Source organism: Homo sapiens, chromosome 18 (assembly GCF_000001405.40).
Source record: "Homo sapiens chromosome 18, GRCh38.p14 Primary Assembly".
In the NCBI taxonomy this organism is placed as follows: domain Eukaryota; kingdom Metazoa; phylum Chordata; class Mammalia; order Primates; family Hominidae; genus Homo; species Homo sapiens.
Genome location: NC_000018.10, coordinates 11,450,217 through 11,478,104, shown reverse-complemented (window position 1 = coordinate 11,478,104; position 27,888 = coordinate 11,450,217). Strand labels below are relative to the sequence as shown.

The window sequence follows — 27,888 nt, the reverse complement described above, 5'->3', positions numbered from 1 at the left end:
CTATGTGAAAAGACCAAACCTACGATTGATCAGTGTACCTGAAAGTGACGGGGAGAATGGAAACAAGTAGGAAAACATACTTCAGGATATTATCCAGGAGAACTTCCCCAACCTAGCAAGACAGGCCAACATTCAAATCTGGGAAATACAGAGAACACCACTAAGATAATCCTCGAGAAGAGCAACCCCAAGACACATACTTGTCAGATTCACCAAGGTTGAAACGAAGGAAAAAATGTTAAGGGCAGCCAGAGAGAAAGGTCAGGTTACCCACAGAGGGAAGCCCATCAGAGTAACAGCGGATCTCTCTGCAGAAACCTTGCAAGCCAGAAGAGAGTGGGGGACAATATTCAACATTCCTAGAGAAAAGAATTTTCAACCCAGAATTTCATATCCAGCCAAACTAAGCTTCATAAGCAAAGGAGTAATAAAATCCTTTCCAGACAAGCAAATCCTGAGGAATTTTGTCACCACCAGGCCTGCCTTATAAGAGCTCCTGAAGGAAGCACTAAATATGGAAAGGAGAAACTGGTATTAGCCACTGCAAAAACATACCAAAATATAAAAACCAATGACATCATGAAGAAAGTGCATCAACTAATGTGCAAAATAACCAGCTAGCATCATGATGACAGGATCAAAATCACACATAACAATGTTAACCTTAAATGTAAATGGGCTAAATGCCCCAATTAAAAGACACAGCCTGGCGAATTGGACACAGTCAAGACCTATTGATGTGCTGTATTCAGAAGACCCATCTCACATGCAAAGACAGACATAGGCTCAATATAAAAGGATGGAGGACTATTTACCAAGCAAAAAAAAAAAAAAAAAAAAAAGCATGTATTGCAATCCTAGTCTCTGATAAAACAAACTTTAAACCTATAAAGATTAAAAAAAGACAAAGAAGGGCATTACGTAATGGTAAAGGGATCAATGCAACAAGAGGAGCTAACTATTCTAAATATATATGCACCCAATACAGGAGCACCCAGATTCATAAAGCAAGTCCTTAGGGACCTACAAAGAGACTTAGACTCCCACACGGCAATAGTGGGAGACTTTAACACCCCACTGTCAATATTAGACAGATCAACGAGACAGAAAATTAACAAGGATATTCAGGACTTGAACTCAGCTCTGGACCAAGTGGATCTAATAGACATCTACAGAACTCTCCACCCTAAATCAACAGAATATATATTCTTCTCAGCACCACATAGCACTTATTCTAAAACTGGCCACATAACTGGAAGTAAAACACTCCTCAGCAAATGTAAAAGAATGGAAATCATAACAAACAGTCTCTGAGATTACAGTGCAATCAAATTATAACTCAGGATTAAGAAACTCACTCAAAACTGCGCAACTACATGGAAACTGAACAACCTGCTCCTGAATGACTACTGGGTGCATAACGAAATTAAGGCAGAAATTAATAAGTTCTTTGAAACCAATGAGAACAAAGACACAACATACCAGAATCTCTGGGACACATTTAAGCAGTGTTGACAGGGAAATTTATAGCACTAAATGCCCACTGGAGAAAGCAGGAGAGATCTAAAATCGACACCCTAACATGACAATTAAAAGAACTAGAGAAGCAAGAGCAAACACATTCAAAAGCTAGCAGAAGACAAGAAATAACTAAAATCAGAGCAGAACTGAAGGAGATAGAGACACGAAAAACCCTTCAAAAAATCAATGAATCCAGGAGCAGATTTTTTGAAAAGATTAACAAAACAGATAGACCGCTAGCCAGACTAATAAAGAAGAAAAGAGAGAAGAATCAAATAGACACAATAAAAAATGATAAATGGGATATCACACTGATCCCACAGAAATACAAACTACCATCAGAGAATACTATGAACACCTCTACGCAAATAAACTAGAAAATCTAGAAGAAAGGGATAAATTCCTTGACACATAAACCCTCCCGAGACTAAACAAGGAAGAAGTCGAATCCCTGAATATACCAATAACAAGTTCTGAAATTGAGGCAGTAATTAATAGCCTACCAACCAAAAAAAGTCCAGGTCCAGATGAATTCACAGCTGAATTCTACCAGAGCTACAAAGAGGAGCTGGTACCATTTCTTCTGAAACTATTCCAAACAATAGAAAAAGAAGGACTCCTCCCTAACTCATTTTATGGGGCCAGCATCATCCTGATACCAAAACCTGGCAGAAACACAACAAAAAAGAAAATTTCAGGTCACTATCCCTGATGAACATCGATGTGAAAGCCCTCAATAAAATACTGGCAAACCAAATCCAGCAGCACATGAAAAACTTATCCACCACGATCAAGTTGGCTTCATCCCTGGGAGGCAAGGCTGGTTCAACATATGCAAATCAATAAATGTAATCCATCACATAAACAGAACCAATGACAAAAAACACATGATTATCTCAAAGGATGCAGAAAAGGCCTTCAATAAACCTCATCACCCCTTCATGCTAAAAACACTCAATAAACTAGGGCTTGATGGAACAAACTTCAAAATAATAAGAGCTATTTATGACACACCCACAGCCAACATCATACTGAATGGGCATAAGCTGGAAGCATTCCCTTTGAAAACCGGCACAAGACAAGGATGCTGTCTCTCACCACTCCTATTTAACATAGTATTGGAAGTTCTAGGCAGGGCAATCAGGCAAGAGAAAGAAATAAAGGGTATTCAAATAGGAAGAGAGGAAGTCAAATTGCCTCTGTTTACAGATGACATGATTGTGTATTTAGGAAACCCCATTGCAGTGAAACCCTGTCTCTAATAAAAATACACACACACACACACACACACACACACACACACAAAATCAGCCAGGTGTGGTGGCGGGCTCCTGTGGTCCCAGCTGCTCGAGAGGCTGAGGCAGGAGCATGGTGTGAACCCAGGAGGCAGAGCTTGCAGTGAGTGGAGATCGCACCACTGCACTCCAGCCTGGGTGACAGAGTGAGACTCTGTCTCAAAAAAAAAGAAAAAAAAAAAAAGGAAAACCCCATTGTCTCAGCCCAAAAACTCCTTAAGTTGATAAACAACTTCAGCAAAGTCTCAGGATACAAAATCAATGTGCAAAAATCACAAGCATTCCTGTACACTAAACATAGACAAACAGAGAACAAAATCATGAGTGAACTCTCATTCACAATTGCTACAAAAAGAATAAAATACCTAGGAATGTAACTTACAAGGTATGTGAAGGATCTCTTCAAGGAGAACTATGAACCACTGCTCAAGGAAGTAAGAGAGGACACAAACAAATGGAAAAACATTCCATGTTCATGGATAGGAAGAATTAATATCATGAAAATGGCCATACTGCCTAAAGTAATATATAGATTCAATGCTATTCCCACCTATCTACCACTGATTTTCTTCACAGAATTAGAAAAAACTACTTTAAATTTCATATGGAACCAAAAAAGAGCCCATATAGCCAAGACAATCCTAAGCAAAAAGAACAAAGCTGGAGGCATCACGCCACCTGACTTCAAACTATACTACAAGGCTACAGTAACCAAAACAGCATGGTACTGGTACCAAAACAGATATATAGACCAATGGAAGAGAACAGAAGCCTCAGAAATAACACCACACATCTATAGTCACCTAATCTTTGACAAACCTAGCAAAAACAAGCAATGAGGAAACGATTCCCTATTTAATAAATGGTGTTGGGAAAACTGGCTAGCCATATGCAGAACACTGAAACTGGATCCCTTCCTTACACCTCATACAAAAATTAACTCAAGATAGATTAAAGACTTAAACGTAAGACCTAAAACCATAAAAACCCTAGAAGAAAACCTAGGCAATACCATTCAGGACATAGGCATAGGCAAAGACTTCATGACTAAAACACCAAAAGCAATTGCAACAAAAGCCAAAACTGACAAATGGGATCTAATTAAACTAAAGAGCTTCTGCACAGCAAAGGAAACTATCATCAGAGTGAACAGGCAACATACAGAATGGGAGAAAATTTTTGCAATCTATCCACATAACAAAGGGCTAATATCCAGAATCTACAAGGAACTTAAACAAATTTACAAGAAAAAAACAAGCCCATCAAAAAGTGGGTGAAGGATATGAACAGACACTTCTCAAAAGAAGACATTTATGCAGCCAACGAACCTATGAAAAAAAGCTCATCATCCCTGGTCATTAGAGAAATGCAAATCGAAACGACAATGAGATACCATCTCATGCCAGTTAGAATGGCGATCATTAAAAAGTCAGGAAACAATAGATGCTGGAGAGCATGTGGAGAAATAGGAACACTTTTACACTGTTGGTGGTAGTGCAAATTAGTTCAACCATTGTGGAAGACAGTGTGGTGATTCCTCAAGGATTTAGAACCAGAAATACCATTTGACCCAGCAATCCCATTACTGGGTATATACCCAAAGGATTATAAATCATTCTACTATAAAGACACATGCACACGTATGTTTATTGCACCACTATTCACAATAGAAAAGACTTGGAACTAACCCAAATAAATGTCCATCAATGATAGACTGGATAAAGAAAATGTGGCACATATACACCATGGAATACTATGCAGCCGTAGAAAAGAATGAGTTCATGTCCTTTGTAGGAACATGGATGAAGCTGGAAACCATCATTCTCAGCAAACTAACACAGGAACAGAAAAACAAACACTGCATGTGCTCATTCATAAGTGAGATTTGAACAATGAGAACACGTGGACACAGGGGCCCACGTGGACACACTGGGGCCCATCGGTGGGTGGAGGATAAGGGGAGGGATAGCATTAGGAGAAATACCTAATGTAGATGATGGGTTAATGGGTGCAGCAAACCACCATGGAACATGTATACCTATGTAACAAACCTGCATGTTCTGCACATGTATCCCAGAACTTAAAGTATAATAAAAAATAAATAAGTAAATAAATAAATTTTAAAAAAAGAATCCATAGAACTTAAAAAGAATGTCAGTGCTGTGAGAAAGGCAAATAATGTCATAGTAGTATTTAAAAAAGGTATAAATTATAAAAGTAAAATGATTAAAAATAGTATCATTTAAATATATATAAAATGTTATTAATATAGAAGTTACAATACAATATTAAAATAAAATAATAAAAAAGTAATGTGCCATAGGGAACTCCCAGGGATCCATGGACATACTCTTAGAATCTCTGCTCTGAGGGTTACTGGAGGGGTTAAATTAGCTAATGCACACAACATACATGGCACGGCATGTATATAGGACACCAGGGAGCCCTTCATCCCCAGGACCAATTTTCCCAGAGCTCTTGCAGCACCCAGAATGCCTCAAGTTCGCAGATACGTCTGGACCCTGTCTCAGGAAACTGGCAGTTAGTTTAGATTTCCTTTGGAGAACAAAGGGGAGAATTAAGATTGAAAGGAAAGGATATAATCAGTTAGATTTTCCCTTAGTGTCCTTGCATATCTGATTCATTATATTCTAATATTTATAACAAGGGAAGTCTGTCAGGCCACAGCACATCTTAAAAGTGTGTGGTTGCCCACTGGGATGCAGATGTCTTAATGCTGACTAGACCTGGCTCTGACTATTGGTTTGTTAGCACAAGGGGCGCTTAGAACCTGAGAAATCAGCTACAAGTGGCCAAAATACTGATTATTGTGCCACAAAGGTAATTTGTACCTCAGGATGGGTAGTCATTCTGTTTCCTTCTGGGAAGACCAATAATGATCATGAGTCTGCTAAGAGTACTGGCATTTTGCTTTCTTTGAGATGTGTTGGAGAGGAGAGTGAATATGTAGATCAATATTACATACAGGATGACAACTTTTTAAAGGGGACGTATTTTAAAGATCCCTTTGGATTTGGGCAACTTACAGGAAGCCTGGGGTTCGTGCATGTGCTCGTGTGTGTATATAGTTTGCCATGAGTTCCGCTGTTTTTTTTTGATAAGTTTTGGGGAGATGAAGACCAATTTGCCATCTGCTCACCTTGCATTTGTTAAAAGAATGTACCCGCAAAGGAGAGCAGGACAGCCTGAGCTCTACCTGTTTCTTCTCCAGAATGTCAGCAGCTTCTTTTCCTGAGGGAGCTGAGGAGCATTCACAAGTAATTGGATCCCAAGAAGATTTATGCTTTTAAAGTAACATTCTTTTATCTTGCTAGTCATCTGTCTGATTTCAGATACACGAGCAATATCAGATCATCTCTTAAAGTAAAGGCTTTGAGCAAACACTGAAATATTGCAAAATCTGAAATGCATTGACACAATAAGTATTTTAGAAATATAAACAGTGTTGAAATGTAGAAATATAGTTTAATAAAAGGTTATTCTAGGCCGGGCGCAGTGGCTCACGCCTGTAATTCCAGCACTTTGGGAGGCTGAGGCAGGTGGATCACAAGGTCAGGAGATCGAGACCATCCTGGCTAACATGGTGAAACCCCATCTCTACTAAAAATACAAAAAATTAGCCGGGCGTGGTGGCGGGTGCCTGTAGTCCCAGCTACTTGGGAGGCTGAGGCAGGAGAATGGCTTGAACCCGGGAGGCGGAGCTTGCAATGAGCGGAGATGGCGCCACTGCACTCCAGCCTGGGTGACACAGCGAGACTCCATCTCAAAAAAAAAAAAAAGTTGTTCTAAAATAAAACACACAAAAATACAATTTAAATTGTACCTCCTAATATGCTATTTTCAAACATGGTTAAATGTTTCACTAAAAAATGTAAATGAATTCATTTATTTGAGAATCTCCAAGGTTCCTTATAGCTCCAATATTCTGAGGCTATTTGGTTTCAGTCACAGTTCATGGATGATTTTAGGCAGTGGTCTATCTTGCAGCTTCTTCTCTACGCATGGCTCTGTGTGCAGTGTTCGCCTGATTCTGAAGATGGCCCACCGTTCCTGATGGGTTGTTGGAACGTTTGATGTGGCCCCTCTGTGGCTTCTCTCAGTGCTCGTGCCCCACCAGCTGTCATGCCATGGTTTCCCCGTGGCCTTTCTGGAGACAGGAGGGACAGATGAGTCTGAATGGATCCTATTTAGCTGCTTCCTGCATTCAGTTCTGTTCCTGCATTCACAGATGAGTTGGAACAATTGCCACCATTTACCCAACACTTCCTTTTCATTCCTTTCAATGCTTCCAATATAATGTGCTCGGTTTTTCAATTCTATACTTTTTGCAAAGCATGAAAGACTACCTTTTAAACTAAATTTGCTCTTTTGTTAATTCTCAGCATTCTCCTGTGATTCTTATTTTGGACTAGTAAGCATAGAAGAGGAGCTAAGATGTTATTTTTTATATAAATGGGTCATTTTAATTGTCATTTAGAAATGCCTGTTATACTATGTTACAGTATACACGGGTTATACATTGCATGAAAACTTGTGTTCTTAAGATTAAGTCAGAATCTTCTTTTTCTTTTAGAATGGAATATCTTCAAGGGTTTTTGACACAAATATCCATGACATTCATTTTAAAACAAAACAAAACAAAGTAAAACAACAACAAGAAACCTACTTTTCCACCCTTGGGAACAACACAACTATGATTTTGTCCTGTGATATATATACCCTAAGCAAAAGTCTTTTAATTGACCCAAATATGAGCTAGTGCCACTTGTAATAGGCCAGATGACATTTTTCTCTTATAATTGAAGAACATTTTGTTTATTATGACATAATCCAAGCGTGATCCTTGAAGAAGAAAAGGTTCAGGGACAGAATTTGTGTAAGATGTAATCAGAACATGTTCATCATAGGAAGTAATATGAGTTCCCACTAAACTGAATCTATGCCTTTCCAAATCATGATAAAGCTTTATTGCAAACTTTGTTTTATTGTGTTTGTTCCTGATATGGTTTGGTTCTGTGTTTCCACCCAAATCTCATCACCAGTTGTAATCCCCATGTGTCAGGAGAGGAATCTGGTGGGAAGTGATTGGATCATAGGGGTGGACTTCTCCCTTGCTGTTCTTGTGACAGTGAGTGAGTTGTCACGAGATCTGGTTGTTTGAAAGTGTGTAGTACTTTTCCCTTCACTCGCTGTCTCTCCTGCCACCATGTGAAGAAGGTGCTTGCTTGCCCTTCTCCTTCCACCATGATTGTAAGTTTCCGAGGCCTCTTAGTCATGCTTCCTCTTAAGCTTGAGGAACTGTGAGCCAATTAAACCTCTTTTCTTCATAAATTACCCAGTCTCAGGTAGTTCTTTAGAGCAGTGTGAAATGGCCTAATACAGTTCTTTTAAAAATAACATGCTTATTCTGCAAGCTTTCTAATTCATGCCCACCATAAGGTAATGTTTATAAGCGAACTTTACTGGGCATCCAGTAAAGTTCACAAACTGAAAATACATGCAACAAAACAATTTAAAAAATTCAAAACAAAAAAGTCAAGAATTTAAATGGACAACAAAAAAAGCATTTGTTACTTAAAAGCTAAGTAACAAAGCTTATAGTTTCAGAAATGTTTTCCTTTTGTAAGACCTGGGGTCTAGCCCTTGCTATGTCATTGACCATCTATGTACTTGAAATGGATTCATTTCGTGCCTCTGTGCCTCTAATAGTCTATCCTAAAATGGATGGTGAAATCCATACACATCACACATAAAAAGAAGTAAGATAGTCTTCTCACCTTTGCCACCTGGTATAACACCTGAGTAATACACCTGTCCCGCCCCGACTCCTTTGAGTTTAAGCAGGATTGTGACCCCCTCACTCCATTTCCTATCCTTTTTTTTTCTTTTTTTGAGACAGGGTCTTACTCTGTCTCCAAGGCTGGAGTGTAGTTGTGCAGTCATAGCTCACTGAAGCCTGGAACTCCTGGGCTCAAGCGATTCTCCCATCTCAGCCTCCCAGGTAACTGGGACCACAGGTGTGTGCCACCATGCCTGGCAAATTATTATTATCATTATTATTATTATTTTGTAGAGACAGTGGTCTCACTATGTTGCCCAGACTGGTCTCAAACTCCTGGGCTCAAGTGATCCACACACTTTGACCTCCCAAAGTGCTGAGATTACAGGCATGAGCCACCGCACCTGGCCTGTGACTTGCTTCTAATCAATTGCTAATGGGGCATCACTCCCTTGATTATATTAGATAGCAAAGCTGTGAGTGCTCATGCCCATGATTATGTCACGTTATGTAAGACTCTGTCTTAACAGTCTTGAGGGAGTCTCTCACTGGCCTGGAGGAGGCAGGCAGGCACTTTGTGTGGGGCCTAGGAGGAGGTGCATGTGGAGAGGAACCTGGGGGCCTCTATTCCCAGAGAGCTGCCTCCACCAGCAGAAAACTTGGACTCCTAGTTATTAGCCCACATGGAACTAATTCTTCCAACATTCACATGTATTAGCCCACATGGAACTAATTCTTGCAACATTCACATGAACTTGGAAGAAGACTCCATGTTCCTGGAAGGAAAGCAGCCAGACTGACACCTTGATTGCAGCCCAGAGAACCTTAGCAGGGGTTCTAGCTGAGCCTGCCGGGACTCCTGACCTGTGGAAACTGTGAGACAGCAAATGGGCAGGGAGTTTCTCCACTCTCTGCACCCACTTTCACTGCCCCCGCATGGTATCATCGTGCATTACTGTGACATATTTATCAAAACTGAGGAACAACTTAGGGACAATGCTATTAAAGTTAACTCCAGCCCTTATTCCGATTTCACCAGTTTTTCCATTAATACTTTTTTATTGCTCCAAGGTCTAATCCAGGATCTTGTGTTTAGTTGTGATGTTCCCTTCCCTTCCTGTGGTCTGGGTCAGTTTCTCATTCTTTCCTAGTTTTTCATGACTTGACAGTTTTGAAGAATACTGGTCAGGTCTTTTTTGCAATGTCGCTTGATTTGGGTTTGTGGAATGTTCTTCTCGTCATTAGACTGGGGTTATGGATTTATGGAGAGAATGATGAGAGAATTTTTGGAAGTGATGGAAATGTTCAATTTTTTTTGTTGTGGTGGATTCATGGGTGTATATGTTTATTAAAACAAATTACACTATGGCATAAAAATGAGTACATTTTATTGTGGGTATCATACCTCAATAAAGTTTTTGGAAATAGATATTTCATATGCACATAAATACATATGCAAACATATCAATCAATAATTAGAATTAATTATATATCTAATTGGTTCTTTACCACAAGACTGCTTAGAATTTTTAAGATTCTAAATGTACTAATGTTTCCTGTGAGTCTATAAGCATTAGATATCTCATGGAGCACTTCCAAACTTCTTAGAATCTGAGATTTTTTTTTTCTAACACTTCATAGAACCTGATACAAGATTGAGACATCCTGGTTTAAGTAAATTACACTTGAATGTGTAGGAAAGACAACAAAAACAAGGAGCGTTGTGCAATTTTTCTAGCATGGCTGGCCAAAGATTGGGAAAATATTTTTGTCCATTGAAGTGGAAATATCTCTCAGGTTTAGCATGTTATTATGTCTGTAAACGTGAAAATGTAATAACATTTTGTATTTTTCATTTAATCCATTACCTTAGAAACTGTTTGGAAACAGGCAAGGTGGAGGACTTCAGTGGAAGAAGGAAGGAACCCAGGCCCACCGGCAGCCCGGTATTATGCGGTGGTAGCTGCTAAATCTGGAACTCTTTTTCACCCTTTGACATTGCTCAGTACTTGAGCCCTGGATCTGGATGGAGTCGGGAGAGGGCTGAGGTGCTAGGGCCAGCAGCTGAGGGCCTGAGGGATGGCCCTTAACTTACAAATGGGAGGAAGAAAGTGGGGTAATGGTGAACTCTAGAAGCAGTACCCCCACTCCCTGGAAGACCCCTGGTTCATACAGTCATTATTTGATATGGTTCAGTTACTGGACACAAAAACGTATCTCTTTATTAACCTACCTGCATCTCTGTGAGCTCAAACAGTTCTCTGTTTAGAAGCTGAATTCAAGCATGAAACAGCATTAGCTGATTTTTATCTTGAGTTGTGTTTTGATGCTTTGACAAGACTTACTGGCAGGTTATGATTTATGACTTGTTTTACATGATTCGTGGGTCATGTTTGCAATTATATTGATAAGCATTCCTTGCATATGCAATTCCATTATGCACTTAAATACTAGACAGTATTGAATGCTGAAAGCATTGAATTGCTTGAAAAGTTTTTCTCAGTGGGCCTCAGACCCAAAGTCTGCAATAACAATGATTTATAATGTTTGGGGAGATTGTAAATGTACTTAAAAGTATTCAACCTATTATAATTGTGTTTGCTGCTTCCTGGCCAGTGCTGTGTCCTGAGAAATGGCAAGCACGGTCCAGGTGACCATGGTGGGTGGAGGCCGATGGTCAGGGGCTGGCACCTGGAACTGAAAGTAGCTGACTTGGATAAGGCAAGTTTGGGACTCAGACCCAGCGGCAGCACCTGGTGAAGGTCTAGCCTGGCAACCTGCGTGTGGTGTCTCAGCTGGATGGTGCCTACGGGGTAAGTGTAAGGCATCCAGGGGTCTGACCTGAAGGGAGGTGGAGGTTACTTGTTGCAGTTTGAAGAGAACAAGCAATGAGAGTTATCCCCAAGGAAGACCGGCTGTCCACAAGGCATGTCTCCCTAAGAATGCAGGAGGCCCATTGGCCTTACCGTGGTCCTTGGCTTTTCAGGATCAGAATGTGATTGTTCATCTTCTCAGAAGTATTAGAGCGAGAGGACTCACACAAAATTCACCGGGGACTGATGATTAAAAACCAAAATACCAATTTATTACTTTACAATAAGAACTCAAAGCAGAGTAGATAATTTGCTCCGCTGCACAGCTTATTCTCTATTTGCAGACAAGTCTTCGTGGAAGCCAAATTACCATCAGGAGCGTCTCAGGGAGCAGGCACTCTTAGCAAGAGGAGGCTGATGTGGCCGCCCCATGAGCTCATTCCCTTAATGGGACATCCTGCCCCATGACCAGGTTTCTGCTCTCTGGTGATAGAACATCTGTGCACAGGGCAGAAGACATGGCCAAAATTTGCTCCTCACTTGCTCTTTTCTCTGTTTGCATTACTGATCATTCTCCTTCTTCTTGACACACTGTTTCTAAGGTAGTCCAGCATCTTTCTAATTTTAATCAGGTATTGCTGTCCTGAGAGCTATTCTGGCTTTTGATAATAAATTGGCATAATTATGTTCCAATCTGCTAAGTGTTTGTTTTGGAATTTAGCTGTCAGAGATGATCCACTTTCCAAGTTCCTGGAGTAGGGAAGTTGTGGGAGAAAGAATCCCTCATAGTTGAACTGAAGCACTACCTGTAGTGACTAGTTAAGTAAAGTGATAAGGATGCCAGGAAGAGCCATGTTTAAAGACCTAAGACCCAGGAAAGCATGCAACAGGGCTAAAAACACCATTATATTCATTGGTGCATCACTTTTGGCATCCTAACTGCATGAGACACAACCTGCTCTATGATTAGGTTCAGTATTGCAGATAGAAGACAGCAAAAACATTCCTTCCCTTACCCCTCTCTCCTTCCTTCCTTTTCTCCATTCCTTCCAGCAATTAAGGCTTAATGGCTTCCATATACATCCTCACTTAAAATACAATCTGTCAAGTACTAATTCTGATTAATAACAATTTGCATTGTGTACCTGAAACATTCCATGTTTACCTGATATTGTCAGCATTTGTTTGTCATGCTCAGCTTCTATCTTGGAGACTTGCTTTTCATTTAGTGTAAGTTCCAGATAATTGGAGTAGTTTTATTCCTCCTTATCCATCAACTCCATCTTGATTTACTCCTTCAGAGATTTTTTTGCTATTGTTTACCTTCTTTTGGTCTCCTTCTTTCCTCCCAGTGGGATGATGCTAGATGGATGCTTCATTTTCTTTACCGATTGCCTCCCTGAAACATTTGCTTCAATTAGAGGAATTGGCAAATCTAAAAGGTTCTTAAATATTTCAGAAAAATAAATGGCAGACAAATTTCTTAAATAGTTAATTGTTGGAACTTCCACTTCTGGGAAGATGGAGTAGATATAGTTTTCCCTATTCCTCCCACTAAGTACAACTAACAACCTTGAACATTATATGTAAAAAAAAATAAGAAGAAGACTCTGAACAGTGGGGAGAAGAAAGCACTCTCTAGGGATGTGGGAACCCAAGAAACAGCATAATGATGGGTTCCCTAGATTTTCTTTTTTGCCTCCTGTCTTCTAGACTTGGAGCTAAAGAAATCAGCACCCTGTAAACATCAATGGACATAGACGAATAGACGAAAAGAGCCCCAACAAAAGCCTTCTCTATCTAGACAAAGGCCCGGGCAGGGAGCGGTATAGCCAGATAGAAAACTTTTAGATAACAATTGCTCTACTGCTGCTGCCAAACACCACAGAAAAAATGATGGCCAACCCAGGTGAAGGGGAGCCTAGACCTCCACTCTTATCAGGACCCTCAATCCCTCCATGGGGTGGTGTCAGAAGAGGCAGAGTAAAGAGCTTGGACTTCTACCCCTGCCAGCCAGCAGTGAGACCCCCACTTCTCAGTGTCATTTGAGGCCATGTGGGAAGCCTGTACTTCCTACACACCCAACAGGAATAAAGCTTGTGCTATAGGAGGCCTAGTGGAGATTCAGGACTTTTGCTGCCGTCCTGAGGAGTACTGAGGCCCTGGGGGGTCAATGGAGGCTATGTGGGGACAGTGTGGGGACAGTAGTGAGGCACTCCTGCTACTCCCAGTCAGAGTGATAGCTGCAGAGGTCTAGTGGGAAGCTAAGCCTCCCCTCCCGCTTCTGTCCAGCAATACTGAGGATCCTCTCCCCTGTAGGGGTTATAACATAGTCTGAATGGGAAATGTGGACTTCTACCCCCATCTGGTGCTAATGAGGCAGCTCTCCCCACCTGCTTCTACTGAAGTGGTGTCAGAGGAAGCCAGTAAGGTTTAAATAAGATTCAGAGTCTCATAAAATACCCAAAGTGTCCAGGTTTCAAAAACAAACTACTTGCCATATCAAGAACCAGGGAAACATCAACTTGAATGAAAAAATGTAATCGACAGGTGCTAACACTGAAATGTTGGAATTATCTGACAAAGATTTTAAAGTAGCTATCACAAAAATGTTTCATTAAACTATAAACAAATGCTTGAAACAAATAAAAAAGATAGTTTTATTAACTAAATAAATAATATAAAAAAAAACCAAATGGAAATTTTGTAACTGCAGAAATATGATTATCCAAAATTTAAAAACCAAGCTGATTGGCTCATTAACAGAAGAATGAGTATGAGGAAGGAAAGAATCAGTAAATCTGAAGGAAGAGAAATAAAAATTACCCCATCTGAAGAAAGAGAAAATAGACTGAAAGAAAAGCCTCAGGGTCCTTTAGGACAATATCTAAAAGTCTAATTTTTTGTTGTTGCTGTTGTTGAGAGAGGATCTTGCTCTGTTGCCCAGGCTGGAGTGCAGTGGTGTGATCATAGCTCACTGCAACCTTGACCTCTTGGGCTCAAGAAACCCTCCCACCTCAGCCTCTTAAGTAGTTGGGAGTTACAGGCATGTGACACCAAACCTGGCTATTTTTTTTTTTTTTTTACTTTTAGTAGAGATGAGGTATTGCTATGTTGTCCAGGCTGGTCTGAGTCTCAACTTCCTGAATTCAAGTGATCCTCTTGCCTTGGCCACCCTAAGTGTTGGGATTACAGGTATGAGCCACTGTGCCTGGCTAAAATCTAACATTTGTGTCACTGTAGTCCCAGAAAGGCAGGAGAAAGAAGATAAAGCTGAAAAAGCATTAAAGAAATAATGGGTGAAAACTTCTGCAATTATTATAATTTTTTTTTTTAGAGACAGGATCTCACTCTGTCACCCAGACTGGAGTACAGTGGCACAATTATAGCTCATTGCAGTCTCAAACTCCTGGGCTGAAGTAATCCTCCTGCCTTAGCCTCCGGCATAGCTAGGACTACAGGCATACACCACTGTGCCCAGCTAATAACTTTCAGTTTAGACAAGATTCACACATCTACAGATTTAAGTAGCTGGAAGAATCCCTGAACAGTTCACATCCAAATAAATCTACATCAGGACACATCATAGTCAAACATCTAAAAACTAAGGACAAAACATCTTGTAAGTCACAAAAGAGAAAATATATTTTACATGTAGGGAAACTAAAATTCAAATGACAATGATTCCTCATCAGAAACTAGAAAACCCAGAGGAAGGGGCACACCATTTTTGAAGTCCCAACCTGAAAGAAAGCAATTGTCAACCTAGAATTCTATACACTGAAAATATCCTTCAGGGATGAAGAAGAAATCAAGATGAAGGGGAAACTCTCACCAGCAGTTCTTTCCTAAAAGAACAGTAAAAGAAATTCTTTACAACGAAAGGAAAAGATACGAGAAGGAAACTTGGAACATCAGTGTACTAGACTGTTCTCACACTGCTATAAAGAACTACCTGAGACTGAGTAATATGTGAAGAAAAGAGGTTAATTGAGTTATAGTTCCATAGGCTTAAAAGGAAGCAGGACTGGGAGGCCTCAGGAAACTTATAATCATGACAGAAGGCGAAGGGGAAGCAAGTACTTTCTTCACATGGCAGCAGGAGAGAGAAAGAGAAGGAAGTGCTACACACATTTCAACAACCAGCTCTCCTGAGAACTCACTCATGAGACAGCACTAGGGGAAGGGTGCTAAACTACTAGAAACTGCCCCCATGATCCAATCACCGCTCAGCAGGCCCCTCATCAACATGTAGAGATAACAATTCAACATGCAATTTGGGTGGGGATCCAGGGACAAATCATATCAATCAGGAAGGAAGAAAGAATAACGGAAAGAGAAAAATCTGCATAAATACAATACATGCTACCTCTCTTGAGTTTTCTAAATTTATTTGATATGTAAAGCAAAAACTATTGTGCTTTCTGATGTGTACCTAAATGTGTATAGAAGAAATATGTAAGAAAATTGTAGATGTGTGATGGTAAAGAGAGGTAAATTTTCCAAACCTCACTTGACCTGGTGAAAGGTTGACACCAGTAGACTGTGCTAATATATATATATATATATATATATATATATATATATATATATATATATATATATATATCTCCCTAGAGTAACCATTAAGAAAGCTACACAAAGAGAATAAAAAGCATTGTAGATGAGTCAAAACAAGGTTCTAAATGAATGTTTAAATAACAGGAAGGAAAAAACAGAAAGGAAAATCAGAAAAGATAAATGGAAGACAAAAATGGAAGACTTCAGATGTCAATAATATTACATTTAATGTAAATAGTCTACATACACCAACTAAGACAGAAATGGACAATAATTGATTAAAAAATGACCAACCATATACATTGTATAAGAAACTCATACCATGTTCATGGATTGAAAGATTTAACATATTAAAGATGTCAGTTCTCAAATTGAGGTTTAATGCAATTCTTATACAAGTTTAATATGATTCTTATCAAAATTACAAAATTTGGTTTTGCCTATTTATCTTTCCAGCTCAATCCATTTTTTCTTTACATATTTTGCAGCTCTGTTTTTTTTTTTTTTGGTGTGTGTGTATATACTTTGCTATGTCTTACTTGGTGGATTGACTCTTTTGTAATTATAGATATCAATGGACTTACCCTAAAATTTATAAGGAAATAAAAAAAACTTAAATAACTAAAATAATTTTGAAAAAGAATAATAAAGTGGGAAGAGCCAGTCTACTTGATTTCAAGACTTACTATGTACCTTCGGTAATTAAGACTGTGTAGTATTAGTGAAGGAATAGTCACATAGACAAATGGAACAGATTCAAGAACTGAGAAGTAGCCCCACACAAATATGCTCAAATGAGTTTTAGCAAAGGTGCGAAAGTAATTCAATGGTGGAAGGATATCCTTTTCAGCAACTGATGCTGGAGTAATTGAACATCCATAGACTAAAAGGTGAACTTCAACCCAATTCCCACACTTTATACAAAAATTATCTCACAGTTAATCACAGACCTAAAAGTAAAATTTTAAATAATAAAACTCCTAGAAAAAAATAGGAGAAAATCTTTGATATCTAAGGCTAGGCAAAATGTTCTTAGACTTGACATTAAAAGCACAATTCAGAAAAGGAAAAAAACAATAATTTAAACCTCATTAAAATTTAAACCTTTACTTTGCAAACGGCCCTGTTAGGAATAATAAACTAAAAATGGGAGAAAATATTTGAAAACTACATTTTAATCAAAGTACTAATATCTAGGATATGTAAAATTGTTCAAAATTCAACCATTAAAAAATTCAATTAGAAAATATGCAAAGGCATGAGTAGAAATCTTACCAAAGAGGATATACAGATGGCAAATAAACATATGAAAGATATTCAACATCTTTAGCCTTCAGGTAAACACACATTAAAATTACAAAAGCTACTGAGGATGTGGAGAAACCGGAACACTTACACATTGCTGATGGTAATGTAAAACAGTGTAGTTACACTGGAAAATAGTTTATCAAATGAAATAAAAAATGAAACGTGCAGCCAACATGTGACCCAGCAATTGTATTCTTGGCCATTTATGCCAAAAATGAAACTTGCGTTCACACAAAACTTTGTACCTGGATGTTCACAGCAGCTTTATTCATAATCATGCCAAACTGGAAACAACCCAGATGTCTTTCACTCAGTGAATGGTTAAACTAACTGTGCTATGTCCATACCACAGAATACTACTTGCAGTAAGAAAGAACAAACTATTTACATGTACAACACCTTGGATGAATCTCTAGAGAATGATGCTGGGGAAAAAGCTCATCCGAAGGACTGTACCTTATAGAACTCTACTTATAAAGAATTATTAAAATGATAAAATTATAGAAATAGACAATAAATGAAGTTCCCAGAGGTGAGAGGGAGGCCCAGATGGAAGCAGATGTGACTATACAAGGTATCGAAATAGATTATTTGGTGATGAAATTGTTCTGTATCTTGAGTGCACATTGTCAATATCATGATTGTGGCAATGCACTGTTATTTTGAAAGAAATTATCATTGGGTAATCTGGATAAAGAGTACATGGGACCTCTCTGTATTATATCTTAGACCTACAAGTAAGTCTAGAATTGTCTAAAAATTAAAAGTTAAATTTAAAAAGAGTTAATTATTATAAATAATGAATTGATTTTAATATAAATTTTGTAACACTCTGGGAAGAATTTACTTTGGAGCTATTTGTCTCTTATTCACCTTACTCCTAGTCATAAATGAGTGTTTTTCCATTTGAAAGTTTCTGGTTTTTATTTTTAGAGTTAATTAATTTACCCATTTATCAAGCATCATCTCTTAATTCAGTACTGAATTAAGCAATTTTAATTAGTAAAAGAAAAATTATAAAACTTAGCAGTGTTTCAACCTATGAGATTCTGAAAATTGATTACAATTAGAGTTTTAGATTTTTCTTCCCCAAATTATATGAATTTCAGATCCTAGTGTTTGTTATCTTTATATTTTATTTTTAAAGATGATAAACACAGTTTTGCTTTACTTGTATTCCACTTGGAGAAAAAACATCTGGTATCACCAAGGAGCAGAGGAAACATGGAAAAACAGCAAGTTATGACAAACATAGGAGGTAGCATTACATAAAATAAATTTCACCTAAATTCATCTTACTAAGCAAATGAATTAACCTATGAGAAGCTATTTCTACACCTATAAAGTTGGTGTTATAGTATCTATTGTACTGGGTTGGGAGGAAGGCTTCCTAACTTGTGAAGTGTCCTGCAAATGTAAGTGAAGTCTTATATGGTGCAGGCAGGACAAGAGTAACTGAAAAAGTCTTTCATACAAAATGGATTATGGGTAGTGTGACATTTATTTAAATTTTAGAAGACACATAAAGAGGCATCCTTAGGTAAATTAGTAAGATATTTGAGATCATGTTGAGGTTTTCAACTATGAAAATACTGGAGGAAGTACGGAGCTGATAGGCCTTGTATGGGAGGGATTTTCACTTGCTTCTGACTTTGCACTTATTAATATTTTAAATTATGTTATTCAGGTTACATTTTAAAATATAACTGGTAAAAATAAATATTTCTGAGATATTTATAATTCACTTGTATTTCCCCATGCCCTTTAATCCACATACCTTTTGGGGCTTTAGTTATGTTTATTGATTTATAAAATATTTTTACATATTGATCCTTTGTCATGTCTTTTACTCATTTTTAAATGATTTGTTTTAAATGTTCAACTATTATTATTAAGGGCTCAGGAATTCTTAATCTTTAGGTACATTTTTATTTTTTCTTTGCTAATTTTTTATATCTTTAAAATTTCCTGTTTATGTAATAAAAAATATATTTGCGTCTATTCTTTCTAGTTTTCTAATTTTTTTACATTTGTTGCTTTAATCTATCTGTTATGTATTTGATTTTATAGTGTGAGGAGAATATCTGCAACATTTTGACTTTCAAATGTTTGTTTTGTCTCTAATTTTCACTTTAAGTATTGTCAGTTCTTGATCAATAATCACTGAGATCAGCATAAATTTATAAATATTAATTTCATTCAGTAACTTCAACTGTTGCTACCACCAAAACTTTTATCAATATACTTGAGTAGAAATCAAATGAATTGATATACAATAGTTCCTCGTTTATCCTTGGAGAATACATTCCAGGACCTCCAGTGGATGACTGAAACTGTGGCTAGTACTAAACCCTATACGTACTATGTTTTTTCCTACACATACATACCTGTGATGAAGTTTGATTCATAAATTAGTCACAGTAAGAGGTTAACAATAACTAATAATAAACTAGAGTAATTATAACAATATACTGTAATTAAAGTTATGTGAATATGATCTCTCTCTCTCCCAAAATATGTTATTGTACTGACACGGATTTCAGTCTGCTGTTAACTGTAGGTAATGGAACCGCAGCTAAGAGGAGATCTCTGTATTTACTATACTCTTCTGCCTGTGGAGTTGCAAGTGTAATCTTTCTTGACAGCAAGAGTGCTCATAGGCTGGGCACAGAGGCTCACGCCTGTAATCCTAACACTTTGGGAGGCTGAGGCAGGTGGACTGCTTGAGCTCAGGAGTTTGAGACCAGCCTGGGCAACATAGTGAGATCCTGTCTCTACAAAAAGTAAGAAGACAAAAAAATCAGTCAGGCATGGTGGCACACGCCTGCAGTCCCAGCTACTTAGGAGGCTGAGGTGAGAGGACTGCTTGAGCTCAGGAGGTCAAGGCTGCAGTGAGTTATGATTGCACCACTGCACTCCAGCCTGGGAGACAGAGTGAGATCCTGTCTCCAAAAAGAAAAAAAAAACCCAAAAACCAACAACAAAAAGAAACCAAAACAAACAAAAAAGAAAGTGCTCACCAAAAATTAGCTGCAGAAAGTTTGCAACACGTGGTCAGGGTGCTCTGGGAAAAGTTATTATTTTGGTGCAAAAGTAATTGCTGGTTTTGCCATTACTTTGAATGCCATTACTTTTAATGGCAAAACCAGCAATAACTTTTGCACCAACTAATATTCACAGCACTTAGGGAATTCAGTTGCATTTGCTGTGGTCATCATGAAGTGGAAAGAAAACTGAGATCTAAACATATTAGTGGCTAGCCCAAGTTTACCCAGCATGTTAGAGGCAGGACTTGTACTAGGAAAAACTACTGCTCCTTTCCTGCTCAGTTTTCTTTCCGTCGCACTGTAAATAACCTGAAAACCGCCCATTCATCACAGAGCATGGATTTGAAACCTAGACTGAGTAATGATGCCGATTCAGCTCTCTTTACTCCTGGGTTTTTCTTGTGTGGGAGAAAAATGGGATTAAAATATGGGCTTGTAAACTATTTGGTATTTGTAAAACAGAAATAGCCACAAATCTGTTTCTTTCTATTGTATTCTTCTTTTGTGCATTTAAAAAAATCTCTCCTCAAATTTTGTTTTTTCACAAGTTTAGCAATGAGAGCTAATACGCATGTAACACGACATCAGAGCAAGTGATATGAGATTACATTAGCATGTTCCGTTAGTTTATTATTTATTTTATTGACTGGCCTTAATGGAACTGGCATTCTTTATAAAAATGTTTCTATATCCCGTGAAGGGAATATTCAAATGATTTCATCATCGTTCAGGATCCTTCCTTAAGGTTCTAGAAATCAGTATTGGTGAAGCACTAGGTTATGTAGAAACAGTGTGAATTGGGGTGGTTAAAGGTTTAGTATGAATGTGATTAGAATGTTAAAAAGCTACTCAAATGCATTGAGATTAAGGGAAGAGACCCTGGCTACACGATCAAACAAGGCTCATATGTGCTTCTCTTTGAGGGTGGAGGTGACAGAAGTAAGAGTAAATATATAAATTATTTAGAACATATTAACATTAATTATTTCTAAAGATTGTATTCTGATGTTTCAAATTTATTTGGCTATAAAAGTTAGAATTATTAGTACTAGAAGTCATAAAATGGAAATCAAAAATTTCTGATGCCTCATCAGTAAGGCATGTTGTTTTTTCTTTTTTTTTCCCCCAGGTATTTCAGTATACTTGCTGGAGACACTGATGAATGGCCCGTCCTGGAGCCTTCACAGAGGCATGGGGTGCTTAGATACTAAAACAAAATTATTTGGCAGGGAAAAGATTGTTTATGCTTTTCTTTTATTGCTTACTAAAGGCCAACATTCTACTTTAGAGAGATCAATATTCCTGAATTGCAAACTTTTTAGAAGCCTAAAGGAAATGAATCCTTGTCGAGCTAAATGTTAACCCTCTCCCTATTACTGAAAACAGCAAAGCTGTTTTCCTGCTACAATTTTTTAATTATACTTTAAGTTCTATGGTACATGTGCACAATGTGCAGGTTTGTTACTTATGTATACATGTGCCATGTTGGTGGGCTGCATCTATTAACTGGTCATTTACATTAAGGATTTCTCCTAATGCCATCCCTCCCCCCTCCTCCCACCCTACAACAGGCCCCGGTGTGTGATGTTCCCCTTCCTGTGTCGATGTGTTCTCATTGTTCAGTTCCCACCTATGAGTGAGAACATGCAGTGTTTGGTTTCTGCCCTTGCGATAGTTTGCTCAGAATGATGGTTTCCAGCTTCATCCATGTCCCTACAAAGGACATGAACTCATCATTTTTTATGGCTGCATAGTATTCCATGGTGTATATGTGCCACATTTTCTTAATCCAGTCTATCATTGTTGGACATTTAATTTTGCTCTGCTTTAGAAGAAAGAAGAGGTAATCTCCGAGGAGCCCATGACTGGTTAGCTTTAGTTTTAATATTACAGCCAACCATTTCTTCCTCTCTTAAAAAATGTAATCTGGGTCTGTAGCTCCTGAAAACAATGTGAATATTTGTTAAGTGTTCAAAGGCCCCCCAGACCTCGCATGTGTCCCTTGTCTCACTGGGCCATGATTAAATTACCTCTTCTTTCTCAAGGCTTCAGCTTAAGCATTATCTCTAGGGCAACTTCCCTGGCTCCTTAGAGCAGTTGGCCTTCCTGGCACATGTCCTCAGAGCTGCCTATTTTTCTTCTGTCATAGCACTTCTTATTTTATTCTTAATGTTCACTTAATTTTGTCTTCTCTGCTACACTGTAAACTCCATGAAAACAAATACTACGTCTAATTTGCTTTTAAGAGCAGTGTTTTGTGCAGATTAAGGCACCTGATAAATATACATATTGCAGGACTGACTGAAAGTCATTAACCAGGCTTGCACTATGCCCAAGGCCCTTGGAGCCTAGGTGGGCATCACTACATTCACCTCAGACATGAAGACATGAAAATTCAGAGAGCTGGCACAATTTTCTCTGGGTTCGCAATGAGAGGTATTTCTGGTAGTTTCAAACCCAACCCTATACACTGCCCAAGTATATGCTCCTTTTGCTATAACATGCTTCTTTCAACATTTTCCTAAGCTCCAGATAGTTTTGGGAGGCAGGATATAGGATGCCCCTGGTTTCCCATTCCCTGTGGTCTTGTTGAAAACACTGCCCAGAGAAGTCTTCTTGCCCACTCTCAACTAAAATTATGTCAACAGGCGGTAGACTGAAGGCGGCACTCTCATCCTCTGGCTAACTCATAACTTTCTCTGATTGTTGCAGTGGACAACCAGAGAAAACTTTCTGGGTTCTGACTTGGGGTGGTAGCTTTACAGTTAGAATTTAAGACTGGGGCCTCATTTTGAAATGCTCTGGGATGCACTAGGACCACAGATTGCCAGCAACGCCACTATCCTGGAATATGTTAGAGTTTCAGAGTCCCAGGAGAAAAGTAAACCTGTCGCAGCCTACCTCACAGCCTCAAAGACATACCTAACCAGAGCAGTCTTCTACTTAGTTCAAATGAAGCTCTGTGGCCCCAGGGAGTCCAGGTCTGGTCCAGCACCTGTTTGGTATGGCCTGCAAGATAAGAATGGTTTTTACTGTTTTAGAATAATTGGAAAAATGTCAAAGGAAGTATAATATTTCATGACACAGGAGAGCTATACGAAATCCAAACTTCTGTGTTCATGAATAAGGTTTATTGGTACATAGCCACACTCATTTACTTACATATTTTCAGTGGTCAGTTTTGCACTAAACACTAGAGTTGAGTGGCTGCAACAGAGAATACCTACCCTGTAAAGCTTAAAATATTTACTGTGTTGAGCTTTAGAGAAAATGTTTGCCAATTCATACTGTAGTTGAACATTATAAAGAAGAAATTCATGCCGTTAATCAGATGGCGAGGTTGTCTCTCCCAGCAATCTTTCAATCTAAAAATCTTCAACTACTAAAAGTTAATAATCTGTGAAACTTTTTCATTGGTTCCAAAAATAGCAGCAACTACAAGTGCAAATTTCCACATCTCTCCAACCTTTAAAACCAGAGTTGGCCAAGCCAGAGTTTTTCTCATCTTGTGGGCTGGGGTCACATGTTCTGTTACCACGTCAGAGGATGTTACCATCACCGTGTCTGTGATCAGAACTTAGGCATAAGCTACTTCCACTCTCCAACATGCAAAACTACTCTTCCAAGTTGTGGGTAAAAGGAAGTGTTTGAAGACTAGGGTGCCAGCCAGTATGAACTGAGAGATGGGAAGAGTGATGCAAGCTGAGATTGAAGAGACACGTGTGATTCTGATCACGCTGAATCTTATGACCCATGTAAGAGTTTGCATTTTACACTAAAAACAATGTAGCAGTATTAAACTGCTTTAAGCAGGGAAGTGTTATAATATGGTCCTTATTTAATATATTTAGTTGGGCTGCTCGTGGAGGATATGTCAGAGAAGGATAGAATAAGGAGCCTAGTTGGAGGCATTGCAACAAACCAAATAAAAGATGCTAAGGTCTGATGTTAGAATGATGTTAGTGAAGAGTTAAGTGGGCTGATTTAAGATGCATTTTGGAGGACTATTGAAAGAACTTGGGAAAGGAGATGAATAATAGTGTTATTTACTGGGATGTAGAAGTTTGGAGGAAAGAGAATTGATAGAAAAATTCAGGAGCTCTATTTTCAGTATATAATGTTTGAAGGTCCTATTAGATCTCAAAATGGTATATTAAGTAAATAGTTTGAACTGGAAATAAACCAAGAGGAAACTGGAAAATAAACATGGTAAACTGTCTCTCTAGTTGCCATAGCAGGAGCTACTTACATCAAGAACCAAAAAGATTGGGCTTAAATGGCCTCACAGGGACAGGAGTTCAGGTATGTCATGTGATGCAAGGCTAATTGCTGAGTTGGAGATTTTATATGGAATTCGGACTTTTGAAATACCGTCAGTGAAAGAGTGAGTAGAAAATTTTACCTTTGCACAGTCAGATGACAAATGAATTTGTCTATCTCAGCCTGAGTTCTGGGTACAAAGGAAGAGTTATACCTGAGAATTTGTAACCACAGGCCTATCTTCATGTAGTTTGTGGTTTGAATACATATTGCCTACTTGATTTAGTAAACCATAAACCCATAAGCCCAATTAATATTTAAACATAGTTTATGGAGCCCGATCCAGAAATAGTGTAATATCTGTCATCAGACTAATCCTCTCGAACATAACAATTATAAACTCTGAATGAAATACTTTTTAAAGCACAGCTATTAGAAGTCACTGAAGAATAAGCAAAATCAGGAGGAAACTGATTGAACCTGGAGGAAATTTGACCCTGGAAAGAAAAAAAAATTCACTGAGAGCTACATTCACACCATTTTTCTCCTAAAAACAATCCCTAGTCCACATATTGCGGTGATAGCTAGAATTCAAGCAGAAAAAACAGTACTGTTTTATTAGGATAAGATGTGAAAATATGGAGTTCAGGGTTGTCAAAGAGACTGGAAATGGAGGAAAAAAATCTTGAAAGGAGGGAGATACAGAGGAAAGAGCACACAAATCAAATATCTACTACCCTCATATGCTTGGCTTGCCCATGAGCTGTGCAAGAGAATACCAGGAGGATGGAAGAACGCAAAAACATTAAGGCTGAAAAATCTAAGCAGAGTTTTAACTGAGTAAAAACAGAGTTGGATGTTTGAATCTTGTCAAGTTAAAAGAACTTGGCCTTTCCATGGAAATCCAAGAGAGACCATAACTTAGGAAAAACTGTTATGTCCCAACAATAAAGATGAGTTCTAAGATGAAAAGAAAACCTGGACATTTGGTATGATAACAAACATGTAGCCTCCACATGTGCAGGGTGATGAGTAAGTAATTAAATTACATTCAAGAACAAAAGTAAACACTCTTCAGAATAGAATAACAAAGTCAAGAATCTCTCTGTAGTGTCAACCACAATGCCCAGTATACAACATAAAATTACTGCACATGGGAAAAGTTAAGTAAAAGATGACAGAATCAAGAGGAAAAGCAGTCACTAGGCACAGACTATAAAACCTCCCCAATGTTAGAATTAATAGATAACAAATTTTAAAAAATTTAAAGCAAAAAAGTTTTAAAGCAAAAAATTTAAAATACAAATTGTAAAATCAATGTGAACTTACAGTAAAAGATAGTCACAGCAAGTGAGTAGGTATGGTATCCTGGTAAAGAAATGGAAAATATACAAAAAGCCAAATGAAAATAAAATGAAAAAAGTGATTTAAATTGAAAATGAGATGAATTGGACTTAATAGCAAATTAGAGAAGGCAAAAAAAATTCAGTCAATTTGAAGAATTATCAACAGAAATCATCTGATTTGAAGAGAAAAAAAGGATTTAAAAACACAGACTCAGTGACTTGTGGGGCAATTTCGGACAATATGGAATATTCTAACATGTGTAATTGAACTTCCCAAAGGCAGAGAGGGAGATAATGGAGAATAAAATTAATTGAAGAAATAATAGTCCCCAACTTACCAAGTTGTGTAACCCCCCATTACTTCATAGATTCAGGAAACACATAGAACTCCAAACTTGATAAGTGAAGAAGCAAACAAACTAACCACACCACATCTCCACATAACATGGCCAAAATGCTAAACCCAAAATTAAAAAAATCTTGAAAGTAAACATACCATATAGTGAACAAGATACTGAGTGTCTCTGAAAGGAAAAGAAAATCAAAAATCTAAAAGAAACCCTCAAAAATCTATATCCAACAAACTTCTTCAGTAAGAAGATGAAATGAGTTTTCAGATAAATGAAAGGTGAGAGAATGAATCACCATCAGACTTCAACTTAAAGAGATGGTAAAAGAAGTTCTTCAGGTTGTAGGAAAATGATGCCAGACAGAAATCTGGTTATACAAGAAGGAATAAAGAGCAGCTGCACGACAAATATTTGGACAAATATGTATTAGAACAAATATGTGAAAATGTTCTAAATTGATTGTGGTGATGGTTTTGCGACTCTGAATACACTAAAAATTCTTAAATGTATGCTTTAAATGGGGAAATAGTATGGTGCATAAATTATATCTCAATAAAACTGTTTTCTAAAATTAACTTCAACTTTTATTGTATTTCAGGAGGTACATGTGCAGGTTGATACCTGGGTATATTGTATGATGCTGAGGTTTGGGGTATGGTGGATTCCATAACCCAGATACTGAGCATAGCACCCAATAGTTAGTTTTTCAGCCCTTGCCTTCTTCTCTCCTTCCTGCTTCTAGTAGTCCTCAGTGTCTACTATTGCCATCTTTATGTCCATGAATACTCATTGCTTAGTTCCCACTTATAAGTGAGACATGTGGTATTTGTTTTTCTGTTCTTGTGTTAATTCACGTAGGATAATGGCCTCCAGCTGCATCCAAGTTGCTGCAAAGAACATGATGTTGTTCTTTTTTATGGCTGCATAGTATTCCATGGTGTGTATGTACCACATGTTATTTATCCAATCCACTGTTGATGGGCACTTAGGTTTATTTCATGTCTTTGCTTTTGACTAGTGCTGTGATGAACATACAAGTACATGTGTCTTTTTGGTAAAATGATTTATTTTCCTTTGCGTATATACCCAGTAATGGGATTGCTGAGTCAAATGGTAGTTCCGTTTTAAGTTCTTTGACAAATCTCCAAACTACTTTCCAGAGTGGCTGGCCTAATTTACATTCTCACCAACAGTGTATAAACATTTCCTTTTTCTCTGAAGTCTTGTCAGCATCTGTTATTTTTTGACTTTTTAATAAAACTGACTGGTGTGAAGTGGTATCTCATTGTGGTTTTGATTTGCATTTCTCTGATGATTAGTGATGTTGAGCATTTTTATATATTTGTCAACCCCTTGGATGTCTTCCTTTGAGAAGTGGTTGTTCATGTCTTCTGACAATTTATTTATTTATTTACTTATTTTTTGGAGATGGAGTCTTGCTCTGTCACCAGGTTGCAGTGCAGTGGCATAATCTCGGCTCACTGCAACCTCTGCCTCCTGGGTTGAAGCAATTATCCTGCCTCAGTCTCCCCTTTTGCCCATTTTTAACAGGATTATTTGGTTTTTGCTTGTTCAGTTGTATAAGTTC

General features: G+C 38.1%; 2 long non-coding RNA genes across 6 annotated transcripts in view; one reads left to right on the top strand and one right to left on the bottom strand.

Moving 5' to 3' along the window:
- The window catches only part of LOC107985173 (uncharacterized), a 122,834-nt gene that overhangs the window by 11,834 nt on the left and 83,112 nt on the right, over window positions 1–27,888 (top strand). For 2 of the 5 annotated variants that reach the window (XR_007066291.1, XR_001753355.3), the window contains one exon: window positions 10,490–10,562. The exons of the other annotated variants lie outside the window; for them this stretch is intronic. This is a non-coding gene — a long non-coding RNA (uncharacterized LOC107985173). The remainder of the gene's footprint in view (window positions 1–10,489; window positions 10,563–27,888) is intronic. 5 annotated transcript variants of the gene reach the window in all.
- On the bottom strand, window positions 12,109–23,627 carry LINC01928 (long intergenic non-protein coding RNA 1928). The gene is made up of 4 exons (NR_146901.1): window positions 23,572–23,627; window positions 23,267–23,353; window positions 12,595–12,828; window positions 12,109–12,235 (listed from the first exon to the last, which is right to left on the bottom strand). It is a non-coding gene; the product is annotated as a long intergenic non-protein coding RNA 1928 (long non-coding RNA).